Genomic DNA, 23,741 nt, shown 5'->3' with positions numbered 1-23,741 from the left:
TCTGAGAACTACTGTGTGCATGTGTGCATCAGAGTGTCCTAATGTCAAATCACCTCTGTTGAGTCCCTCATAGGGTAAAACTTTCAGGGAGGGCCAGGATGTCTGCAGAAACGTTTCAGGTCCACATTTCTCCAAAGATAGAATGCACAGCTTTTAGAGACAGCTGACCTTCCATTGCTAGGGGCTTCTTAGTGGAAGTGTGCTGGAGACCATGGCTGGGGAACTGGGCTCAGTGAATTGCCATATCCTTTTCTAAACAAATGATTTTAGAATTTTATGACCAGGTGTTACCATAGTAAGACCTGCTCAGTAAAAAAACAAACAAACAAACAAACAAAAACAAAAAACACTATAGGGCTCTATCCAAGGTGCTTGTCTAACTCTCTAACCCCAGTTTCAATTTCTCGCCCTTAGGGGCAAATTGGCAGGTTGTCCCCTGCTCCTCCTGGCCCACACAGCCTTGCTTATTTGTCTCTGTGTGATTTCCTTCTGAGGTATGGCCTCAACATTCCTCTCAACATAGAGTCTGGAGAGCCACATCTGTAGACCTGTCTGGGCTCATGGGAAGTTGACTTGCGCTGTGAAGCTCTTGTAGGGCCACCTGCCACACCCCTCTGATGACAGGGGTCACTCACTGGGCTTGAATCTTCCCTTTATTTCTAAATTCACTTTTTTCTTCTCATTTGTCTGCATTTCCTTTTCTTCTATTGTCATGGTTCTCAGACTTGCAGGTGCTTCAGATCACCTTTGGCACTTGTTAAAACACAGCTTGCTGGGCCCCAGCACCAGAGTTTCTGATTCAGTAGGGAATTTGCATTTCTAACAGATTCTAGGTGATGCTGCTGTGGCTGGCCAGGGGGGCCCGCCTTGAGAGCCACTGCTGTGCTGTGACCCAGGGTGTAAGAGAGAAGCACCTACTGACCATGGACCCATGGCCAGGAACTCCGCATGGAAAAGGACAGCAGGGGTAGCCGCCCACAGGGAAGAAGCGAGCTGCTGCCAAGTGAAACCTGTGGCCAGCCCCACCTTTCTTAGCAATTCAAGCTCTGAATCAAAGTTCAGGCCAACCTTGGGAATTGTGGTTTTTAGCAACTTTGCTGAAACCAAAAACATTGCCCAACTTGAAGTGTCAAAAGCCTGCATCAAGCACTGGCTCTTCCTCTTTTCTTCCGTAGGAGCCTCCACTCCTCCGTATATGAAAGTTTCAACTGCTGTCGTCCTGAGGGTTTGGCAAGGAGGGACATTCCACAGTTGTGAGATGACTGTGTTCTAGAGAGTTGACAATGCGGCATTTGTGTGTGTGGCGACTTCCTCCATAGAAAAACTCCAGAGAGCCTCCCTTCCGATGCTGCTGATACCCTTCCTTCCCAAGGTTCAGAATCAGGGAGTCCATTTGAGCAGAATCTTAAACAATATCACACACTTATGGAGCCACATCAAGCTGGGACATGCCACTGGGTCTAGAAAAAAATTTTGAGAAAGTATTGCTGTCATAAAGCTGATGTGTTTTGCTGTGTTAGAAGGCAAGATAATCTTGCAGAGACACAGAACCAGATAATTCCTTTTAAAGCAAGGTCATGAATAATATATATAGATAGCCATAGTCGCTGAGGGAAGATAGCAGAAGAAATAAATAGAAGAGCTTTAAAAATTGGAAAGAACTTCATAAGAACAGCAATCTGGGGCCAGTCTTGGGGGAAATTTACTCTTGCAATCTAAAATGTCTGAGGGTAGTATTAGGCATGCTGTAGTGGATGTAATGTTCCAAATTCATGTGGGTCACCTTGAATTATAAGCAGAAGGCTCAACTAGGTTCACTATTCTCAATTTGAGAAGGCAAAGACATGCATACTCCATTCTATTAAGATTTCTACAAAACTAGAGAGGGGAGTATGGCTTAGCGATTAAAAGCCAAGAGTGTAGAGCCAGGCTGCCTGGATTTGAATACCAGTTCTTCCACCTACCAGCCATGTAATTCTAGGTAATCTATTGGATGTCTCTGAGCCTCAGTATTGTCATCAGTAAAATGGAAAAATGATAGTTCCTACTTTATGTCGTTTTTAGGAAGACAAAAAGCTTCAATATATGTAAAGTGCTTTGAATGGCACATATTACAACGTTGTTTATTAAATATCTGCTATAGTAGTTAATGAAGTACTGTAGTTATTTGTTAAATAAATACTCGAAGTTGAATTTTAGATGGGTCATGCTTTTAGCCATAACATTCTGTTATGGAGAGAATTCCTATGCTGTGGGAGCTCCATATTTTCTGAAACTGGTAGGAAATCAGAAGTCTTGGCTGTTATCCTCTAAGTAGAGAGAACATGGGCCTTGGAGTCCAACAGGTTTAGGTGCAAATCCTGGCTGTGCCAGTTCCAGTTCGATGACCCTGGGCAAGACGACCACCCTCAGTGAACTTCAGTCTTGTACTCTCTGACATAAATGTCAATGATTTAATTAAAGCACCTGATAAAATTTGAAATATTCACGAAGCCATCTCTAAGTGGGGGCTCATGTCAGTGTGGGTGGCAGGCAAAAGGAGTTATTACTGTAAGCTGAGGAAAGCATGGCAAAGCAATACATGCTGAGAAGCCTGAGGTGTGAACGGGGAAGGGCCCAGGGCTGAAAATCACCCGGACGACATCTGCTTTGCCCTCCTCCTCTCCAGGTGTGGCATTGGTGAGAGCACCCACTGCATGGATGCTGACCACCTGCCTGGCAGCCTCTCAGCACATTCCAGTCTGTTTTGTGAAATCAGGTGCAGATAAAAGCCATACTGAGAAAGCACCCAGAGGCCTGAGCTTTTGCCCCATCGTTGACTTAACTGACTGTGAACTTGGGCAAGTCACTTTTCTTTTCTGATGTTCTTTTATTCTGTCTGCAAAATAGCATGCCTGAGGCCCGTTCTTGTTCCAAGCCTGCTAAAATCAATTGCCCTGCCCAACAAGGCTGTGCATGAGCTTTAATTGCTCTGGGGTGTGCTGCATTGTTCTTACCTAGCTTTGTTTGTCTATGTGCTGGCTTAATGAATCTTCATCATGTAGCCTCTTCAGTTTTCTAGCCTTTGTATTTATGTCCATCAGCCCTTGCCATGGAAGGCCAGCACCTGGCCACATCGTCCTCCCTCTGTCCAAATCTCATGTCCCTTCGCCAGTTCCCTGAGTGCTGTCATCAAGGGACAGTTTAGAATTTCAAAATACTTTAGACAACAAAGGAAAACTAGGATATGGCAAAATCACATCTAACAAATATATTTCTAAAGGGTGTGTGAAGGAAAACCCAAAGGTTAGGTTAGAAATTTTAAGCCTTATTTCATCATTATTTGCACCTTATCTTCATCATCCATAGGATGGGGACAAACAAAAGCAATCTAGCAGAGTGATCTGTACAGTAAGGTCGCTAACTTGTGGTTTTTGAGTATAGTGACTTTTGCGATTGAGTTGATCATTTTATTATTTTCTTTATATGTTTTTACTTTTCTTAGTTAATGTCAATATAGATTATAAGACAAAGTGAGCTTTGGAATATCTCACAGGAATTATTGCAGTGTGGAGGCTATGGAGGGGTAGAACCTGACAGAGGGCTTGCTCTGCTGACCCTTGGCCAGCGGGGACCCAGACAGAGCACTGGATTTGGGTTTGGGAAAGGTGGACTGGGATCCTGGTCCCATCACATGTTAACGATGGGGGATGGTGCAGTTTTCCCGACCTCGGAGCTTCAGCTTCTCATTTGAGGATGAGTAAAAGTGGTGATCTGCTGGCCTGCTATGAATCTCACATGGATGAGGAAAGTTAGATCATAGAGGGAGTCCATCCACCATTCCTTAGATACAAATGAAAAGGCTGCTGCGGGTTCTAGAATAATTGTTGCACCCGCTGCCAGGATCTTAATGGAATGTGGGTTTTCCCCTACTTTTCAAGGTTTTCATTTCTGTTTTCACTACAGTACTGAGAAGAAAAAGCCCAGATCCTCAGAGCAGCAATCATAGCTTTTCACAGCCTTTTCCATGGCTGTTTTTTTTTTTTTTTTTTTTACTTAAAAATTGTCTTGAAAATGCAACAGATATAATTTTGTTTTCTTTTGCAAGTTAAAATTCAAATACTTTCTAAATGCAAAAATGTTCACATGCTGTCCTGTTTGTTGGCAGCTGCAGAGTTACCAATATTTAGGGGAAAGCACTACATAATCTGAGGTTTTTACTTTTTTTCATCTAGTGAATTTTCTTCACAACTTTACAATTGGTCTTTGGTCTATTTCTTCAACTTTAAGCAAACAAAAACAATTGACAGATGTGAAATTATACCACGGCAGGCATTGCCAAGTTAACTTTTTATCTGTTTCTGCACAGGCATCTTAGCTTTGGCCTTGAGCATTGCTACCATTAATATTTTGATTTTTAGGAAACTAATTTGAGAATTTGTTGTTTCTTGCCCAGTATGTTTTGTTGGGTTACACAGCTCTCTTCATGAGCTGATATGGTTTGGCTCTGTGTATCCACCCTAATCTCATCTCCAGTTGTAATCCCCACATATTGAGGGAGGGAGGTGATTGGATCATGGGGCGGTTTCCCCCATGCTGTTCTCCTGAGAGTGGGTAAGTTCTCACAAGATCTGATGGTTTAATAAGGGGCCCTTCTGCCTTCACTTACACTCTCTCCTGCCGCCTTGCGAAGAAGGCGCCTGCTTCCCTTCTGCCATGATTGTAACTTTCCTGAGGCTTCCCCAGCCAAGCAAAACTGTGAGTCAATTAAACCTCTTTCCGTTATAAAGTACCCAGTCTTGGGCAGTTCTTTATAGCAGTGTGAGAATGGACTAATACATAAGCTAATTAAAACAGTAATGTGCAAGCTGATCAAAGCTCCATCTTCCCACTTGGGTACCCTTCCTGCAAAGCAGTCATTCAGTCATTTGTTCATTCATCCACCTATTCACTCTTCCGTTTAATAAAAACACTGAACAAACACCTGCTGTCTCCAAGGCACACCGCTGAACAATGTATTGCATAGAGAATTCATAGTAAATATTATACTGGGGTTATATATAAGGTGATACAAAAATGCAGAAGAAATAATTTTAGACAGGTCATGACATTTGAACTGGGCCCTGAAGAATCTCTTCAATGATCCCTTTAAATGAGCCCACTGTTTCAAAACAAACATTCCCAGCCAATAGAAGGGGCCGGCTCTATTAGAATTCTGGTCCTTAGAATTAGCTCAGACATTTTTGCTGCCTTGAACACCACTTGACTGGAATGCAATGCGGGCATGTTTTCTGGTGTGGGGCTCAACAGTTTTCTTATGCATACTCACCAGCCCTGCTCCTCCAGGCCTATGCAGCATGAGCGATAGAAACGATGCGCCCATTTGTGCCCCTGCCAGCTGCCTGCTCCCACGTGTGGGCCCACAAAGTAGATGAACAACTTCCCCCTGCACACCTCAGCACTGTGCTGTGGGTGTCTATGAACATTTTGCTCTGTCTCTTTTTTCTCTCTTTTTCCCCTCGCTACCTCCCAACCAGGAGCCAGAAATGCATCTCCCTCCATCTCCTATTTAGAAGCTTCAATGAACGAAGCCTTGGGCACACGCGGTGGACTGTGCCTGGGAGATGGACTTGGCGCCCGAAAGGTTGGTTTCTTCTACCTGCACTGTCCTTTTCTCCAGGCGCAGCCGGGCAAGGACCTGCCCGGCCTGGTGGTGTCAAGAGTGGGACTAAGCCCTTGTTCTTCCTGCCACAGAGGCACAGGCAGAAGATTCCGTGTCTGGGGCGATGTCCCCTCAGACTTCCACGTGGCTAGAGAAGGAGAAAGGGTGGTGGCCCACATATCTAGGGGCTCCACTGTATGGCTCCCAGGGGACCTGAGGGCACAGGGATGCTTGGGACTGGATTTGGCCCTTTGAGGGTATTGCATGGGGAGGATTTCCACACCAAGCCCACCTTTATTTATACACAAAATAAACAAATGTACTTAAATTGGATGATTTCTGAAGAGCATCTTGTACATGATAAAATCCTTTGAATACTCATAAAGTGCTAATGGGTCATCAGCAACCCCAGTCACCTGATCTGCAGGGAAGGTCTCCTCGCAGGCTGCAGCATCTGCCCTGGAGGCTCTGCATGGAGTCTCCTCTGGGCTGCACGGAGGTCCTCCCAGCATACACATTCACCCCTCTGTTGTGTGTTTCTGCTTATGTATGTGGTGTTTGTGTGTATGTGGTGTGTGTTGTGGTGTATATTGTTGTATGTGGTGTGCATGGGTGTGGTGTGGTTTGTGTATCTGTGTGCAGTGTGGGTGTGTGGTGTGTTCATCTATGTGCTGCGTGTAGTGTGGGTGTGGTGTAATGTGTGCTGTGGTATGTCTGTGATGTCTATGTTTTTATATTGTGGTATGTGATGTATGTGTATGTTGTGTGTGTTGTACTGTATGCTGTTTGTGGTGTGTGAGATGTGTGTGATGTGGTATTTTTGTGGTGTGTATGGTGTGTGTTTCTGTGTCATATGTATGGTGTATGTGTGTGTTGTGTGGTGCACGTGTCTGTGTGGTGTGTATGGTGTGTGTGTGTGTGTGTGGTGTGATGTGGGGTGTGTGTGGTGCATGTGTCTCTGGTGTATATGGTGTGTGTGGTGTGTATGGTGTGTGTATGTGTGGTATGGTGTGGAGTGTGTGTGGTACATATGTCTGTGTGGTGTGTATGCTGTGTGTGTGTGGTGTGTTGGGGGTGTGTGTGTGTTGTGGTACGGGGTGTGTGTGGTGCGTGTGTCTCCGTGAGGTGTGTCTCTGTGAGGTGTGTGTGGTGTGTGCCTGTGTGTGTGTGGTGTGGTGTGGTGTGTGTGTGGTGTGTGTGTCTCTGTGTGATGTGTGTGGTGTGTGTGTGGTGTGATATGTTGTGGTGTGGTGTGTGTGTGTTGTGCATGTCTCTATGTGATGTGTGTGGTGTGTGTGTGGTGTGATATGTTGTGGTGTGGTGTGTGTGTGTTGTGCATGTCTCTATGTGATGTGTGTGTGTGTGGTGTGGTTTGTTTGGTGTGCATGTCTGTGGGTGCGGCGGGAGTCGTGCTCTTGGGTGAGGTGTCTTAACCCCTTACACTGTTGTGAATGGCCCTGCGACCACGTTTTCGTTCAAAAGCCCCGTTATTCGTTTGCCCCGTCTTAGTGAGAGCAGGTGAACCATGAGGGGAGCCCAGGGAAAGCCAGGGCCCCGGGCAAGGGACAAGTGGAAGAGCTCGCGTCCTCGAACGGGACACCTGGCTGGGGGACGGCCTGGGAGCTGCTCACAAATGGGACAGGCCCTCTGGGCACCGTGGGAAGGGGACATGGGCGCCGCCTGCCCCGTGCCCAGCGCGAGTCCCTTAGGTCCCAGCTCCCTGCAGGAGAGGTGCCTTATTTGGTAGCACGGCCGGCCTCGCCGTGCTTGGCGGTCTTCTCCTGGCTCCTGCCTAGGGGTCTGCGGTTCCTCAGAAGCACTAGGCTACGCTTTCTCAGGGTAAACACGCACTCCGGACAGTGTAGCCGCGGCTTGGCAGGTGATGGCTGCCAGAGAGCAGCTCACACAGTCAGGACTAATTTGGTCATGGGGAGCATCCTAGTGTGACATTTACTGGATCTTCTGGGGGTGCTGACAGAGCACACAGCCGGGGGGACCTGGAGAGGGACGACGGGTGGAGTTAGCAGGGAGACAGGGCCTGGGCTGGGCTACCCTGCAAAACCAAGCTGGGCCAATGTTGTTTCTGGATGGTGGGGTGTCCAGGTCTCCCTGCCTCTGTGATGTGTCAGTCCTGACTTACACACCCCTGGACACCGCTCAAGGTGCACTGAGGTATGGGATGTAACACTGTCCCTGGAAGAAGCAGACTGTCCCCTGACACTGAGCAGGCAAATCAACTTCATCCTCTGGCAGAACAAATGCCGGTTCTCTCACCTTTGGTTAAAACAGGAGCTATTAAACAAATAATTCCACAAATTAAAGCTGTGTTTGATTCCAACGGCCTGCTATGAAGGAACATCTTCCTTTGAGACATTCATCTTTCAGCTCCAGGGCTGCCCGACGTTTTCCATCAATGGTAGGAGGTGAGACAGTGAATAGTTTCGTCCTTGTGAGCCTTGAGGTTTCTGTTGTAATCACTCATCTTTGCTGGACATAATGCAAAGGCAGCTCTAGAAAACACGCACAGCGACGGGAGTGGCTGTGATTCTGTGGGGCTTCCTGCATAAAAATAGATGCCTGGCTGGATGTGGCCTGTGGCTGTACATCGCCCACCCGGCTTTCATTTGTCACCAAATATGTAGTGGATGCCTACACATTCTAGGCCCTGCAGTTAAAGTGATGATCTCAAAGACAGAATTGTTTCCACAATAGAGTTATATTTTTATGGGAGAAAGAGGCCAAAACTCAAGTAATTATGAAATAAATGACAGAGTACTGATAGTTGCTGTCAAAAAGAGTAGCACAGAGAAAGAGTGTGTTAACACCCAGTCAGCTTCCTTCTCTTTCAGCTCAAATCTTGCATTTAACCCTGTGAGGACAGGGACCTAGTGTCTGATTTATTTTGCATCCACAGCAGCTTGCTTAGGATCTCCCCATCATCATTTCTGACATTCTGGTGAATGCAACTAGATAAGAGAAACAAACTAAAGACATACTAACTAAAAAGCAGGCAGTAATACTGAACTTTTGTGGCTGGTATGATTATATTCTTATATAAGAAATACAAACAGTAAGGAAATTCAGTTCATAAAAAGGGGCATATAAAATTAAAAAGATAACATATATAGCTTCCATATATGAAAAAATATATATGGGGAAGAATAAAACATTAACAAAAACAGTAACAAAACAATATTTAGGAAAAAACTTAAGATATATGTGACTTATAATAAGAAAATTTGAAAATGCTCCAGAGACAGAAAAATACAAGACTATGACAAACAGAAATTCATACTGTATTTTTGAATCAGAAGATTTTTCTCATTATAAATGTGTCAATATTTTCAGGCTAAATTATATGTGTAATACAAGCCCTATATATATCATTTCATATATATTCATATTTAATTCATATATGTAAAGTAATAATTATTGCATATATAAAATGTTTGAACTATTACATATATAAAATTTAATAATTATTACATAAAGGGAAGTTAAAACAAGAGTCTTTTCAAACTAGCAACACCTCAGTTTTTTTCTAAGGGAGGTGCTGCTAGTTTGAAAGGGCTCTTGTTTTACCTTACCTTTGAAGCCATGGTGATACATAATGTTTCATAATGATGACTGGCCTGGTGTTTAGACTCTTGCATGCTATTATTTTTTTAACAGAGCCTGCTTTCAGTCAGTACTTTTAAGTTGACAAGAAATATGGGAGAATAAACTTCCTAACCCTGCCTGTGATTGGATTATGTTAGTTTTTTATCGTTTTTGTGAGAAAAGAAAGTAGCTAATTTCATCTATGAAAAGTGGTACAAAAATTCTAAATAAAATTTTATGATGCTCAATCTGATAATGTATAAAAGTGATCAAATAGGGAATATCCAAGTAATGCATTGCTGGCTCAATATCAAAATATCCATTAGCATGATTTGACACATGAATGATTTAAATAAAATAATCATTTTAATAGATGTGGAAAATTGAAGAAAATCAGTAAGCTGTATTAATTTTTTAAATTCTTAAGAAATTAGAAATAAAATGTAAGTGTCTTTACCAGAAAAGGCATCTATCAAAAATCTACATCATGCTTAATGGTGAATTATAAAATACATTGCACTTACCTTAGAAAAAGATGAGATTTTTCATTATCGTTGATATGGTTTGGCTGTGTCCCCACCCAAATCTCACCTTGAATTCCCACGTGTTGTGGGAGGAACCTCATGGGAGGTAATTGAATTATGGGGGCAGGTCTTTCCCGTGCTGTTCTTGTGATAGTGGATAAGTCTCATGAAATCTGATGGTTTTAAAAACAAGAGTTTCCCTGCACAAGCTCCCTCTCTTTTCCTGCTGCCATCCATGTAAGATGTGACTTGTTCCTCCTTGCCTTCTTTCATGATTATGAGGCTTCCCCAGCCACTTGGAACTGTAAGTCCCATTAAACCTCTTTCTTTTGTAAATTTCCCAGTCTTGGGTATGCCTTTATCAGCAGTGTGAAGATGGATAATACAGTAAATTGGTACCAGTAGAGTGGGGCACTGCTGAAAAGATAACCCAAAAATGTGGAAGCAACTTTGGAACTGGGCAACAGGCAGAGGTTGGAACAGTTTGGAGGACTCAGAAGAAGACAGAAAAATGTGGGAAAGTTTGGAACTCCCTAGAGACTTGTTGATTGGCTTTGACAAAAATGGTGATAATGATATGGACAATGAAAGAAATACAGACTGAGGAGGTCTCAGATGGAGATAAGGAACTTGTTGGGTACTGGAGCAAAGGTGACTCTTGTTATGTGTTAGCAAAGACACTGGTGACATTTTGCCCCTGCCCTAGAGATTTGTGGAACTTTGAACTTGAAAGAGATGACTTAGGGTATCTGGTGGAAGAAGTTCCTAAGCAAGAAAGCATTCAGGAGGTGACTTGAGTGCTGTTAAAGGTGTTCTGTTTGATAAAGGAGGCAGAGCATGAAAGTTTGGAAAATTTGCAGCTCAACAATGCAATAGAAAAGAAAGTCCCATTTTCTGAGGAGAAATTTAAGCCAACTGCAGAAATTTGCATAAGTAACAAGGAGCCAAATGTTAATTCCCAGGACAATGGGGAAAACGTCTCCAGGGCATGTCAGAAGTCTTCATGGCAGCCCCTCCTATTACAGGTCTGGAGACCTAGGAAGAACAAATGGTTTCTTGGGCCAGGTCAAGGGCCCACATGCTGTTTATAGCTTAGGGACTTGGTGCGATGCATTTGAGCCACTCCAGCCATGGCTAAAAGGGGTCAAGCTACAGCTTGGGATGTGGCGTCAGAGGGTGGAAACCCAAAGCCTTGGCAGCTTCCATGTGGTGTTGAGCCTGTGGGTACACAAAAGTCAAGAACTGAAGTTTTTGAACCTCTGCCTGGATTTCAGAGGATGTATGGAAATATATGGATGCCCAGGCAGAAGTTTGCTGCAGGGGTGAAGCCCTCATGAAGAACCTCTGCTAAGGCAGTGCAGAAGGGAAATGTGGGGTCAGAGGCCCCACACAGAGTATCTACTGGAGCACTGCCTAGTGGAGCTGTGAGAAGAGGGCCACCATCCTCCAGACCCCAGAATTGTAGATTCACTGACAGCTTGCACCATGGGCCCGGAAAAACCGCAGACACTCAATGCCAGCCCATTAGAGCAGCTGGGAGGGAGGCTGTACCCTGCAAAGCCACGGGGGAAGAGCTGTCCAAGACCATGGGAATCCACCTCTTGCATCAACATGACCTGCATGTGAGACATGGCGTCAAAAAAGCTCATTTGGAGCTTTAAGATTTGACTTCCCTGCTGGATTTCAGACTTGCATGGGGCCTGTAGACTCTTTGTTCTGGCCAATTTCACCCATTTAAAGCAGCCATATTTACCCAATGCCTCTACCCCCATTGTATCTAGGACGTAACTAACTTGCTTTTGCTTTTACAGGCTTATAGGTGGAAGGGAGTTGCCTTGTCTCAAATGAGACTTTGGACTCTGGACTTTTGAGTTAATGCTGAAATGAGTTAATACTTTGGGGGATTCTTGGGAAGGCATGATTGGTTTTGAAATGTGAGGGCATGAAATTTTGGAGGGGCCAGGGCAGAATGATATGGTTTGGCTCTGTCCCCACCCAAATCTCCTCTTGAATTTCCACATATTGTGGGAGGAACCTGATGGGAGGTAATTGAATCATGGAGGCAAGTCTTTCCCATGCTGTTCTGGTTATAGTGAGTAAGTCTCATGAGATCTGATAGTTTTAAAAACAGGAGTTTCCCTGCACAAGCTCTCTCCCTTTTCCTGCTCCCATCCATGTAAGATGTGACTTGTTCCTCCTCGCCTTCCTCCATGATTGTGAGGCTTCCCCAGCCATGTGCAACTGTATGTCCGATTAAACCTCTTTCTTTTGTAAATTGCCCAGTCTTGGGTATGTCATTATCAGCAGTGTGAAAATGAACTAATACAATCATCAACACTTCCTTATTCTTCAACATTTTCTTCAAGTACTAGAAAATGCATTACATTAACAACAACAAAAAGAAATAAGAAATATAAGAATCAGTAAAATAGTAACAAAATTCTTGTTTGCAAATAATAAAGTTGTCTGCAGACAAAATTCACAAAAATCTATAAACATTCTGTAAGAATTAGTTACAGTTTAGGAAAGTTGCTATATATATGAGTAATATATAAAAAGGGAGTTTTTATGCCAGCAAAGACAAATAATTAGATGTAAAAAATACAGTACTTATAATAGTGACAAAACTATAAGGTACATAAAAATACATCTAATGAAAGCTCTTTATGGAACAATTTTTATAAAAATTATTGATTTAGAGACTTTCAGTTCTAGAAATGTCAGGCAGGATAAAACAAACTCTCTCACAGAGGACAGCAATAGCAAAAAAAGGTATTATATGGGGTTTCTTTGTGAAGTGATGAAATGGTTTAAAAATAACTGTAGGGAGATGGATGCACATATATTTAAATACGTTGAAACCACTGAATTGTATATTTTAAATGTGTGATTTATATGATATGTGTATTGTACCTCATGAAGGCTTTTTAAACAAAACAACAACTGCCATAACTTAGACCAAACCAAAGTTTGTGTCAAATCCTGTTATGTAATATTAGTTAAATTTTATAGTCTAAAATCTAAGCTTTATTTATGAGGATACTCACTTCATTGCTGAGGTGTGCCAACAAAACATATTAGTAAATTTATAGGAACAAAATATTAGACCTATTACTGAGAAAATACAAAACCTGGAAATAGGAATATATCTTTAAAAAGAATCTTATTTAGTGTCAAGGGAAGTTATGAAACATATCAAGGAAATTAGTATTTGGTAAATATTGAGTTAGTATGTTAGACATTCCCTATTAGTGATTACAGAATACTTATATCAAATGAAATTAGATTAAATATATATTTTAAAGGTAAACATCCAAAGTAGAATAAATGTATCATTTTGTATCCTAAGTAATAGAATTTCTTGCATTTACTTTCAATCAACAAAATAGTTAAATGCTCTATTGTTACTACTTTGATTTATTTCAAAACCTCTTCGTACATCTAAAAGTAACTTTAATGTAAATTGTTTTTATATAAATTGTGACTCTTAAAATTAAAAAAACAAAAAAAAGAGGGGAAGAGGATAGTGGAAACAAGTGTAGCAAAGTGTTGATGGCTGTTGAAGCTGAGTTATGAGTATGTGAGGGGTTTTATTGTATGTTCTACTGTTATGTACATTTGAAAATTTTAATAAAAAATTTTTAAAGCTAACAAAAAGAAATAGCTGGGCTAAAATCTAACAGAAGATGATACTTTGTACAGATAAATTCCATTAAAATGTGCTTCTTTTTCTTGAAGACATTTGCTAATGAAGAAAAAACAGCAACAAAATGTAGATTATAGGATGGAAAAATAAAATAAAAGTCCAGTGTCTGTCTGATGCCCACCCACACAGTAAGCTGGTATTCAAAATGGCTACAACCACAAATTAAACATAATTTGAAGTTATTCCATTATTATATGGGTTCCATTAGTTTTGCATGTCCTGGATTTCCAGAATATCTCCTGGATTTGAAATTAAAGTGATAGTAGAATGTTTCTCCTGTAGCTATAAAAAAGAAAATATTTTGTTAAGAAATATTACATTTTTATTACCTGAAATTATTTCTAGGAATAATTTTAAATATTAGGATCAGCTCACAAAAATAAAGAGCCAGAAAATAAATAAAGGTTTATTTATGCATGAGAGTCAGAGAAAACAATGGACAACAGTAATACAATGGCTCAGATATGGGAAACATACACAAACTCTAAAGTAGGTATGCCTGTTATATACAAGGGTCTTTTTCTAAAAGGGAGCAAAGGAACTTATTAGCATTAAGCTTTGATAAGTCAAGGGAGCTTCACAAAATTTCCAAATGTCCAAGTTGTTAAAGAGGCAAAAATTGGAATGGTAAAAATTCTCCATCAAGCTAAACAAGGCAAAATAAAATGGTTAATTTAACTCAAATATAAAAGTAGTTACATTAAAGCAACAGGTAATAAATTCTTCAATAAAAAAACAAAGATGGTCTCAAAAGGGAAAAAAAGGGGAAACAGGTACAGCTTATATACAAGTATATTAGTCCTTTATTGCTTTGTAAAAATTCTCCGAAATCTTAGTGACTTAAAGCAACACACGCTTATTATCTAACGATTTCTGTGGACTAGGGATCCAGGCATGATCTAGCTGGATCCTTTGTTCCAGGGTCTCTCACAAGGCTGCAGTTAAGATATTGGCTGTGCTGGAGTCCATCTCATCTGAAGATGTGATTGAGGAAGGATCCGATTCCAAGCTTACTCACGTGGTTATTGGTGGTTTTCATCTCCTTCACTGATGTTGAACTCGTGGCCTATTTCTGAATAGCTACTCACAGTTTCTTGCCTCTGCATAGGGAAACTGGCAACATAACAGCTTGTTTCATCAAAGTGAACATGTGAGAAAAGCCAGAGAGGGAGATTAAGCAAGGCAAAAGTCACATTCTTTTATAACCTAATATTACAAGTGATATCCCATTATTTTTGCTGTATTTTATATCTAGCAGTGAATAACTGGTCCAAACTCAAGGGTTGGAGATTGCAAAAGATTGTGAATTCCAGGAAATTGGAGGCAATCTTAGAAGTCTGACTGATAAAATATATTATCTGTTGAAATTAAAAGAAATAAAAAAATCCTTTTGAACATTGGATCATATAAACTCTAAGTCAAGAAGCATTGTCAAATACAAGTGAGTTCATAAGAATAGAAGAATGAGTTACAATGATGAAATGAAAAATTCTACAAGTATATGTTTCTAATAACATGGTGTCAGATCACCCGAAAACAACATTTAATACATTTACAAGAAGAAGTAAACTGACAAACTCTTGGGTAATTTTAAACTTCCAATGTTTTCAGATTTATAGATAAAGTAGGCAAAACAAATACAATGATTATATAGTAGATTTGAATAATTAGAATAACAAATTTCTCTTAAATACATAGACTTTTACACTTACTAGATGTGTAATGCATTTTAAGTACATTTGCACATTTGGAAAATAGAATGGAAAACAGATGAGGTCAAATAACTAAAGTCATATGGATTATGTTCTCTGATAACCAGGTGATTTTGGTGAAAATCAATAATAAAATATATGACTAGAAAATTACTATATGTTTGGAAAATAAAAATTATACTCCTAGGTTTTGAGTATGTCAAGGGAGAAATCTTAGTAAAAGCTGCAAAATACTTTGAACTGAATAATGGTAAAAACACTATGTACCAAAACTTCTGTAATAAAAAGAATATTGAAGTGAAATTTATGTCCTTTAGCTCAGGTGGGGGAAAAGAAGAAGGGCTGAATGTAATTTACCACACTTAAATTAATGATTATATTAATAAGTGCAGAAAGTTATACCTTATAATATTTCACATAAATTAAAAATTAGCAACATCATAAAATCTATAGTAAAAGTACATAGTTGGGAAATATCAAAGTTTTCTCTTTGAGATTTTTAATATGATTGACCACTATCATTTTATTAAACTGAAGATACTACCCATCATAGAAATAGACTTATAAAATTGTAAAAGGAAGAAACTCATCATTTTCAAATGCTATGCATTTACATACAGTAAACAATTTACAGAAAATTATTAGAATTAATCAGATTTAGCTCATTTGCTGAAAACAATATTAATGTATAAAAATCAACTTTTTTTCTACATACCAGCAACAAACAGTGAGAAAATGAGATTTAACCAACATTATTTGCAATATTTACAAATATAAGATAACTAGGAAAAAGTACACAATTTTGTTAACAGATATTAAAGTAGATCTTATTAATAAATAGATATACCATGTTCATGGATAGCACAACTGAATTTGTGTGTGCTTGTGTGCACCTAAGTGTGTCTCTGTTAACTCGACGTGCTGATTCTGAAATTTATAGGAACATATGTTTTTGTATTTAGAGCTGTGAACCTACTAATCAAACATCCTTGCCATGCCAGAAGCCTCATGATTAATAGAAGAAGCAACAGAGGAGTTGAGAGTATTGGAAAACTTCTTCCTTAAACTGCAGTGTTTTGGAGACCTACTTTAATTGATTGCTATTTGTGGTAAACCCCAGCATAAATACTGTGATCCTTTTTAAATTTGGAATTAATTTGAAAATTGGCAAGTGGAAGGTCTCACGGATAGTCATTTCAGAGCTCTGAGTCATTTAAGAATCTGAGTCCTGGGTAGAAATGACTATCCAATGTGGTTCTTACTATTTGTTTCCTTTCTCATATATTTCAATGAAAGTCTAAAAAAAATTGCATTACATGAACATTGATTTCAAAACCTTGTTTTGCTTTTAATGTGGAAGATGGTGTTCAGGTTCTGTTACTAACTGGTCATAGAGTATTTAGCTAATAGCCTAGCAAAAGTCCATATGTATGTCTTTAATTATCCTTTTATTAGAGATTGATATTACACACAGGACAGCCCAACAATCAAGGATGAAGGAAAAGGGTCTTCTATTGCTTTATGACAGCCAGCAAGCATAGGGGAAAAGAATTGCAGTCCAGAATCTTCAGCCTATTCCCGAGCTCTAGAACTAAATTGTCACCTGCTTCTTATCTCCATAAGTAACTCATCGCCAAACCTTATTGTGTTTACCCCCAAAGTGTGTCTCAAATCTGCCTGTCTCCCCATTCCCAAAGCTTCCATTCAAATCCATCATCACTTTCTTAAACATTTGCAAGGACATCCTCTAAAGTCTCCTTGTTTCTAATACCAAATTCTCCCATTCGCCCATTTTTCTACCCATAATTTAAGGTCATCTTTGGAAATTTTTTAAAAATCTACTTATAGCTCCTGAGTAAATTCACAATCCACTTCCCTATTGAAACGCAAAAGCATGTAGGGTTACAAGACCATACATGATCTAGCTACCATCTATCTTCCCATCTTCTACTCAAACTCCTTTGCTTTTGGGTCATTATATTCCAACGATACCAATATGTGTGTATTTCTTCAAACACACCAAACTCTTCTTATCTAAGGCCTGAAATTTTTTGCCTAACTACTGTTCATCTTTTAGGTTCCAGCCCAAGTGTCACTTTCTTAAAAAGAATCTCCCTGAAATCCAAATGATCTCTGTCATATTTTTTCTTATAGTACTCTGTTCTTTTTCTTTGTTGCACTTATCACAAGTTGTAGCTACATATTTATTTGTCTGATACTATAAGAAATGTCTCTTTCCCACTGGTGTTGAAGATCCCTGAGGACAGAACCACAAAAATAATTATTTATTTTTTGCCTACCACTGTATACTTAGAAATAATGGACAGTGAATAAATATTATTGAATTAATTAATGAGCAAAATCATGTGATCTCAAGGAATTGATTTACTTTCCCTGCTATCTAGCTTATTCAAATGTATCCAATGACCTCCTGTTTTACAGAATATTAATGGGACAGCAATAGATACCAGTGAGAAAATAAATGACATTATCTGGTTTTGATAATATAATTTTCATTGCTGTTTGAAGAATAAGTTGTAGGGAGGCAAGAGAAAACAATGAACCTTAGGAAGAATGTGGAGACAAAGATGTCATTAGCTATGACACATGCTTTCACAGAAGAATTGATTAATTTTGCTAATAAGTTGGGCTTGGGAGTGAAGCAAAGGAAGTAATTAAGGATTCAGAATATTGACTTGAGCAACTGAGTGGCCATTTATTTTGACAAGAACAATATGAGGATGAACATATTTGAAGGACGTATGACTTTTGAAATGACTTCTACACACCACATGGATACATCCAGTAAAGACTTGATGGTCTTCACATCTCCATTATCCTGAAATGTACATCCTCCTCCTGGGATAGTTCTTGAACTTCATCTTTTATCACTCTGACCATACTGAGCGTGATTTTAGTAAAGCAAATGTATTCCTCCTAAAGGTGTTCTCGCCCAGTGATGATCATTGGCTGGCTCCTTCTTGACATTCAGTTCACAGCTTCAGTCTTCTGCACAGAGCAGCCTTCCTGGACCACAAACTCTAAAATATCTAAAGCTTGTTGACATCTCTACAGCAGCTCTCCACATGCCATCTCTCACTATCAGATGTGTTCCCCACTTGCTCATTTTTTAACTATGTTCACTCTTTCAAGTAATATTTCCATGAAGGCAGAAACAATACTGGTTTAATATGGAAATAAACAAACACACAACCTGAAAACACCTGAGAGGTTGGCCAACATTTCCAGGGAACCAGGTAAACTGTTCTTCCCAAGATGAGATAGCAGAAACCAGTGCAAATTTTCACAGATGCAGGAGCAATGAACCAGAGTTTCTCTGATTTATTTGGTAGCAGATGTTCTTTCTGTTCTCTGACCTCTGTCCTGGGGACGGCAATTTAGAAAATGAAGGGGTGGTAGCACATGATTATGTCACATACACTTATTTAATCGAAATGATCTCATTTTGTAATAGAGACTGAAAACAGAGAGAGAGCTCTGAGTGGCAGCTGTTGCTGTCCTCCATGGGCCCTTCACCTGGACTCTGGCCTCGTGGATAATTCTTTATTGTTCTCTTTTTCTAGCATTCTTGGTCTTTTTTTCTCTTTACTTCCCCCGCGCTCCATGGTTTCAAGACTACTTGTCTTCCTTCTCCAGCAGTTAAATTTTAATTATCCCTTTCTTCAAAATCTCATGGTATAGAATTTGTTTTACTTACATAAATTCTGTTCAATCTATAATTTCAGGCATCCTGCTACAGGCTGTGTGCAGGAACATCCTCAGCCCATGCTCAGAATCTACCTCCCTTGTTGCTCATCGGAATCCTCCAGCTCTGTAATTTCATGAACTAGGACTGAAGCTTCTGTGCCCTGCAGTGTGTTCTCCTTAGCCTGGATGTGCTGTAAATTATTTGATAAAGTTAAAGATTTTGTCCTCCACCCCTTTCAGAATTTCTGTTTTTTGGGTCAGACCTGACTGCACTGATGCAGATTCTCCACAGATGCAAGTTTCCTCCCGAAAGACAGATTTTTGGGGCTGATTCTGGTTGCCGGCTCTTTCAACACCCATCTCAAAATATGTCACAGAAGCCTATTTTGGGGTGAAACATTTTGATTTTCTTCACTGTAATCCATCCTTTCCTCTTTCTTGGTTTAGTTCCTTATTTATTGTAGTCCATGTTCCATCAAAGATTTCATGGGAAGAAAAATTTTGAGAACTTGTTTATCTGAAGGCATCATTATATTCTTTCACTTAATTGATGGTTTGAGTGCAAATAACGTTGCAGGTGAAAAATAATTTTTCCTATTATAATGTTAAAGATGCTGCTCTTTTTTTCTAGATTCTTCTGTTGCTGTTGAAAAACTCTTGTTTCTATTACTTCTTGCTAAGTAGCAAATCATCTCAGATCTTAGTGTGTAAAACAATGATTTTTTTAAATTTTATTTTCAGTTCAGGGGTACAAGTACAGGTTTTACATAGGGAAACTTGTGTCATGGGGATTTGTTGAGTAGATTATTTCATTATCCAAGTATTAAACCTAGTACTCTTTAGTTATTTTTCCTGATCCTCTACCTCCTCCCACCCTTCATCTTCCACCCTCCACCCTCCAAAAGGCCTCAGTGTGTTGTTCCCCTCTATCTACCTGTATGTTTTCATCACTTAGCTTCCACTTATAAGTGAGAAAATATGGTATTTGGATTTCTGTTCCTCTGTTAGTTTGCTAAAGCCTCCATATCCATTCATGTCCCTGCAAAGGACATGATCTTGTTCTTTTTTATGGCTGCACAGCATTCCATGGTGTATATGTACCACATTTTCTTTATCCAGTCCATTGTTAAAACAATGATTTATTACCTCTTATAATTCTCTGGGTTGGTTGTCAGTTTTCTGGATGGATTCACATGTGCTATCTAACATGACACACCCAGCTGAACTGAGCTCAACTAGGAGGGTGAGATGGCTGAGTCTTTCTCTGCTTGTGATGCTTCATCCCTGAGGGGACTTGTCTGGGCTGGGCCTCTTTCACATGCAGTCACCAGTGCTCCAGAAAGGCAAGACCCCAAGCACAATACCAGTTTTTTAATCATTTACTTGTATCACATTTGCTGATGCCTCATTGGCCAGAACAACATCCATGGCCAAACCCGGCATCAGTTTGAGAGATGATTATACATGTGCATGGGTACTGGGAGATGCGATTCACCTGGCATCTTTAGTGTAACAATCTGCAATAATCTAGCCTCTGGCCCCAACGGTACATGTTCCTTCATATGGAAAACATACTCATGACCCCTAAAAACTCATCAAACCACAACATTGAGCTTAAAGTCCACTGATCTTATTATCTACATTAGCCCCAGGTGTGGGTTAGGCTCTGTAGATGCTTCTCTCTTTGATTCAGAGATGCATGAATTGAAAAAACATGCTATCTGCCTTCTACACATCTATACATGATGATGAGACAAGGGCAGGACATGTGCAATAGACATCCCTATTAAAAAGGAGGAGGAACAAGAAGAACATAGAGGTCACTGGTCCATAGCATTTCTGAAATCCAGCTGATCACATATTGTAAGGAACCTGTGTCTGGGCACAGAAAATTTTTCTTTATTAGGCTCAGTTCTGTCCCTTGGAAGTAGTTCTGTGGTTAATGGTTTCCCATGTTTCTTAAAGAAATCCTCTGGGATTCTTACCTCTGAAACATGTATTTCTTCCTATATAAAATAGGTCATATTTTCACCTGAAGAGCCTCCTTGTTTCCTGCAGAAAGTTGAGAGCTCGAGAGCATCTTTATTTTTTGAGTGATTTCTACCTCTTTTATTCCAAACTTACACAACTCCTTTAAAAAGTTTGTGGGCATTTTATAAATCTGATTGTGATTCACTCCATGTCCCAAAAACCACACCCATGATTCTTTTTTGGAGAACCATAGGCCATATGTACAGCTGCAGTGAAATAACGCTTTTAAGAGTCTTAGAAGGGTTTTTCTCTAGCTGAAGGAGTCTTCTAAGCAGAGGTCTTTTCAGGGTCTTAACAAAGGATCTTATGAACATATCCTTGATTTACTCTTTACCCTGAGGCCATTTCTTATTTTGAGAGTCTTTTGCCAGCTAGAGAGCCTGGAAATGTGAAACAGTTTGATTTTCCAACCCAGTAAGTCTGAATTGGAAATTCTTCTTGCATACTGAATAGTTCTCTCTTTAGCTCATATTTATCTTCCCATATCTTTTCATACGGAGCTAACAGAAGCCAATTGGCACTTTCAATACTCTGCCTAGAAATCTTATCTGCACGCATAGGTTAATTTGGTACATTTTCTATTTCCCAGAAGTTTTGCCACTTCCTTCGTAACTATAAAACATGGGTCATCATCTTTTAAGCCTTCTATCAGTTTCATTACTGCACCTCCAGCCTCCATTATCAAGCTCCTTACCACGGTGTCAGCCTCCACCACTGCCCCTTCCCAAAGCCAAGAGTATATACATCTTAGGTCTTTGTGATAGCAGTGCCCTATTTTCGGACCCCTTTTTGTTTTAGCTATCTATTGCTGACAAACAAAGCACCCTAAAATGGAATAATGCATGTAACTATAAAAAGCTGCATAGAAATGTGTGAAATAATATTAGCACTATTATTTCAAAGAATATTTAATCTGAAGATATAAAAATTGCTCTGTTTTTTTGTGAATGATAGACGAGAGTGGACACCAGGCTATTAACATTGTTTACTGATTTTTGGAAATGTGATACTTGAAAAAGTCCAATTAGAAGCTTTCATCATCTTCCATCTCAAACAAAAGACATGCTGCAACTCAACTGAGAAATGGCATTTTGTTGTGAGAGATGTTTTTAATTAGAGAGCTGATTAAAACTGTATTTGTCTGGAACTTAGAAAAGGTGAGTTGGTTTGCCTTTGCTCTTGTGAGTGCATTTTGGTAACAAATACCAAGCAGAGAGTTAGAAGGGCTGATTCCCAATGCCATTTCTGGCAATCAGGTGACCTTAGGCGCCTCATTGCTCTAGCCAAGGTTCTCAGTGTTCTCATTTGTAATGTGACAAGGTTAGGCCATCTGCTCTTCATCATTTCCCTTAACCTTAACAATCAATGACAGAATAATTTGAGACTTTAAGTAAATCTTCTCCATCTGGAAATTGGACTTATCCTCAAAAGAAGACACAGTGTTAGTACTGGAAAGAACTCCTGAGATGATTTTTATAAAATACCTTGAGTTATTTTTGATAAAGGACCATGACAATCCCAAGATTTCATTTACTAACAAGTTTGATCCTAAGGTAAAAATTTGGGGTAAGTCCCTTCCTTAAAATACGTTGATCACTCCTCAGAAAATATAGTGATTCAGATAATCAATCCAGCTTCAATTTAATTGCATTAAAGACTGAAAGTAAAGTTTGCCAGGTTAGTGCTGAAGGAAATGTTTACCTGATAAGCAGAGGTGCAAGTTTGCCCATGACAATCTGTGTGTCTATGTCTGTATCTTTATCTATTTAATACATTATTTTTATTCTAGAGAATTTGAGCACAGACAAGCTATAAAACATGCACGAGAACATACTCTACAGAGATTAAAGTATCTCCAAAGACATGAAAATAGAAAGCATCCTTTCTACTACAAAATGAATTTGACTCTCTAAATTAACAGTGTTGGCCGGGTACTGTGCCTCACACCTGTAATCCCAGCGCTCTGGGAGGTCAAGGCAAGAGCATCATTTGAGCCTAGGAGTTTGAGATTAGCCTGAGCAACATAATGAGATCCTGTCTTTATATAAAAAGTAAAATAAAAATAAAAATAAAATAAAATAGCCGTGTAATTTATTTTTGAGTAGTTGAATTATTTATTAGATTATTGCAGCTTATCAGACAAAGACACAAACTAAGAAATAAAAAGACTCACACCACGTCTAAGATATTACTAAATTCAACACCAATTTAAACAATGACAGATATAACAGCTGAGTTCTCTTTTGGGCTATAATACTGGAAAAATATATACTTTTGGCCAAATAATTTAATTACATTAAATTTTATCTTAATAGGCTACTGAAAGATTAAAAAGATAAATGTGAAGATATTTTGTAAACTATAAACTACTATTAAAATGTGAGGGCTTAATTTCATTTACAGTGTTACTGTTTTATTGAAGACTTCTTAAGTGGACAAACTATGACAAATCTGAAGCAAGTTTTTTTAAAATTCCATATTCTATAAGTTATTTTGAAATATTGGTGAATATGAATATTATTTGTTTATTCCTAATATGTTTATATAGCATGTAATGTTTTATATAATATATTCCATTATATTAACAAAATATATAATATGTTAGTTAATACATAATATATAACATTAATATATGAAATACTAAGAAAATATTCATAATAATATATTGATATATAATATAATCACATATGTTGAATTATATTAATCTAACATATAATATAGTATGTTATATTTATTATATATTATATATAATTTGTCTATACAGAGAGATATTTGTATCTTTTTAAAAATGCTATGTTGTAAATATTTTGCAATTTAAT

At 39.2% G+C, this 23,741-nt stretch overlaps 1 annotated feature.

Annotated features, from left to right (window-relative positions):
- Nucleotides 960-1,009: an enhancer, noted in NCBI's record as "active region_15249". NCBI's record gives its function as "activates an Ori minimal core promoter by ATAC-STARR-seq in GM12878 lymphoblastoid cells {active_cell/tissue: GM12878}" and the evidence as "EXISTENCE:reporter gene assay evidence [ECO:0000049][PMID:35858748]".

This window comes from Homo sapiens, chromosome 2, assembly GCF_000001405.40.
Source record: "Homo sapiens chromosome 2, GRCh38.p14 Primary Assembly".
Lineage (NCBI taxonomy): Eukaryota > Metazoa > Chordata > Mammalia > Primates > Hominidae > Homo > Homo sapiens.
Note: the sequence above shows the minus strand (reverse complement) of the source record. Positions and strands in the feature narration are given on the sequence as shown.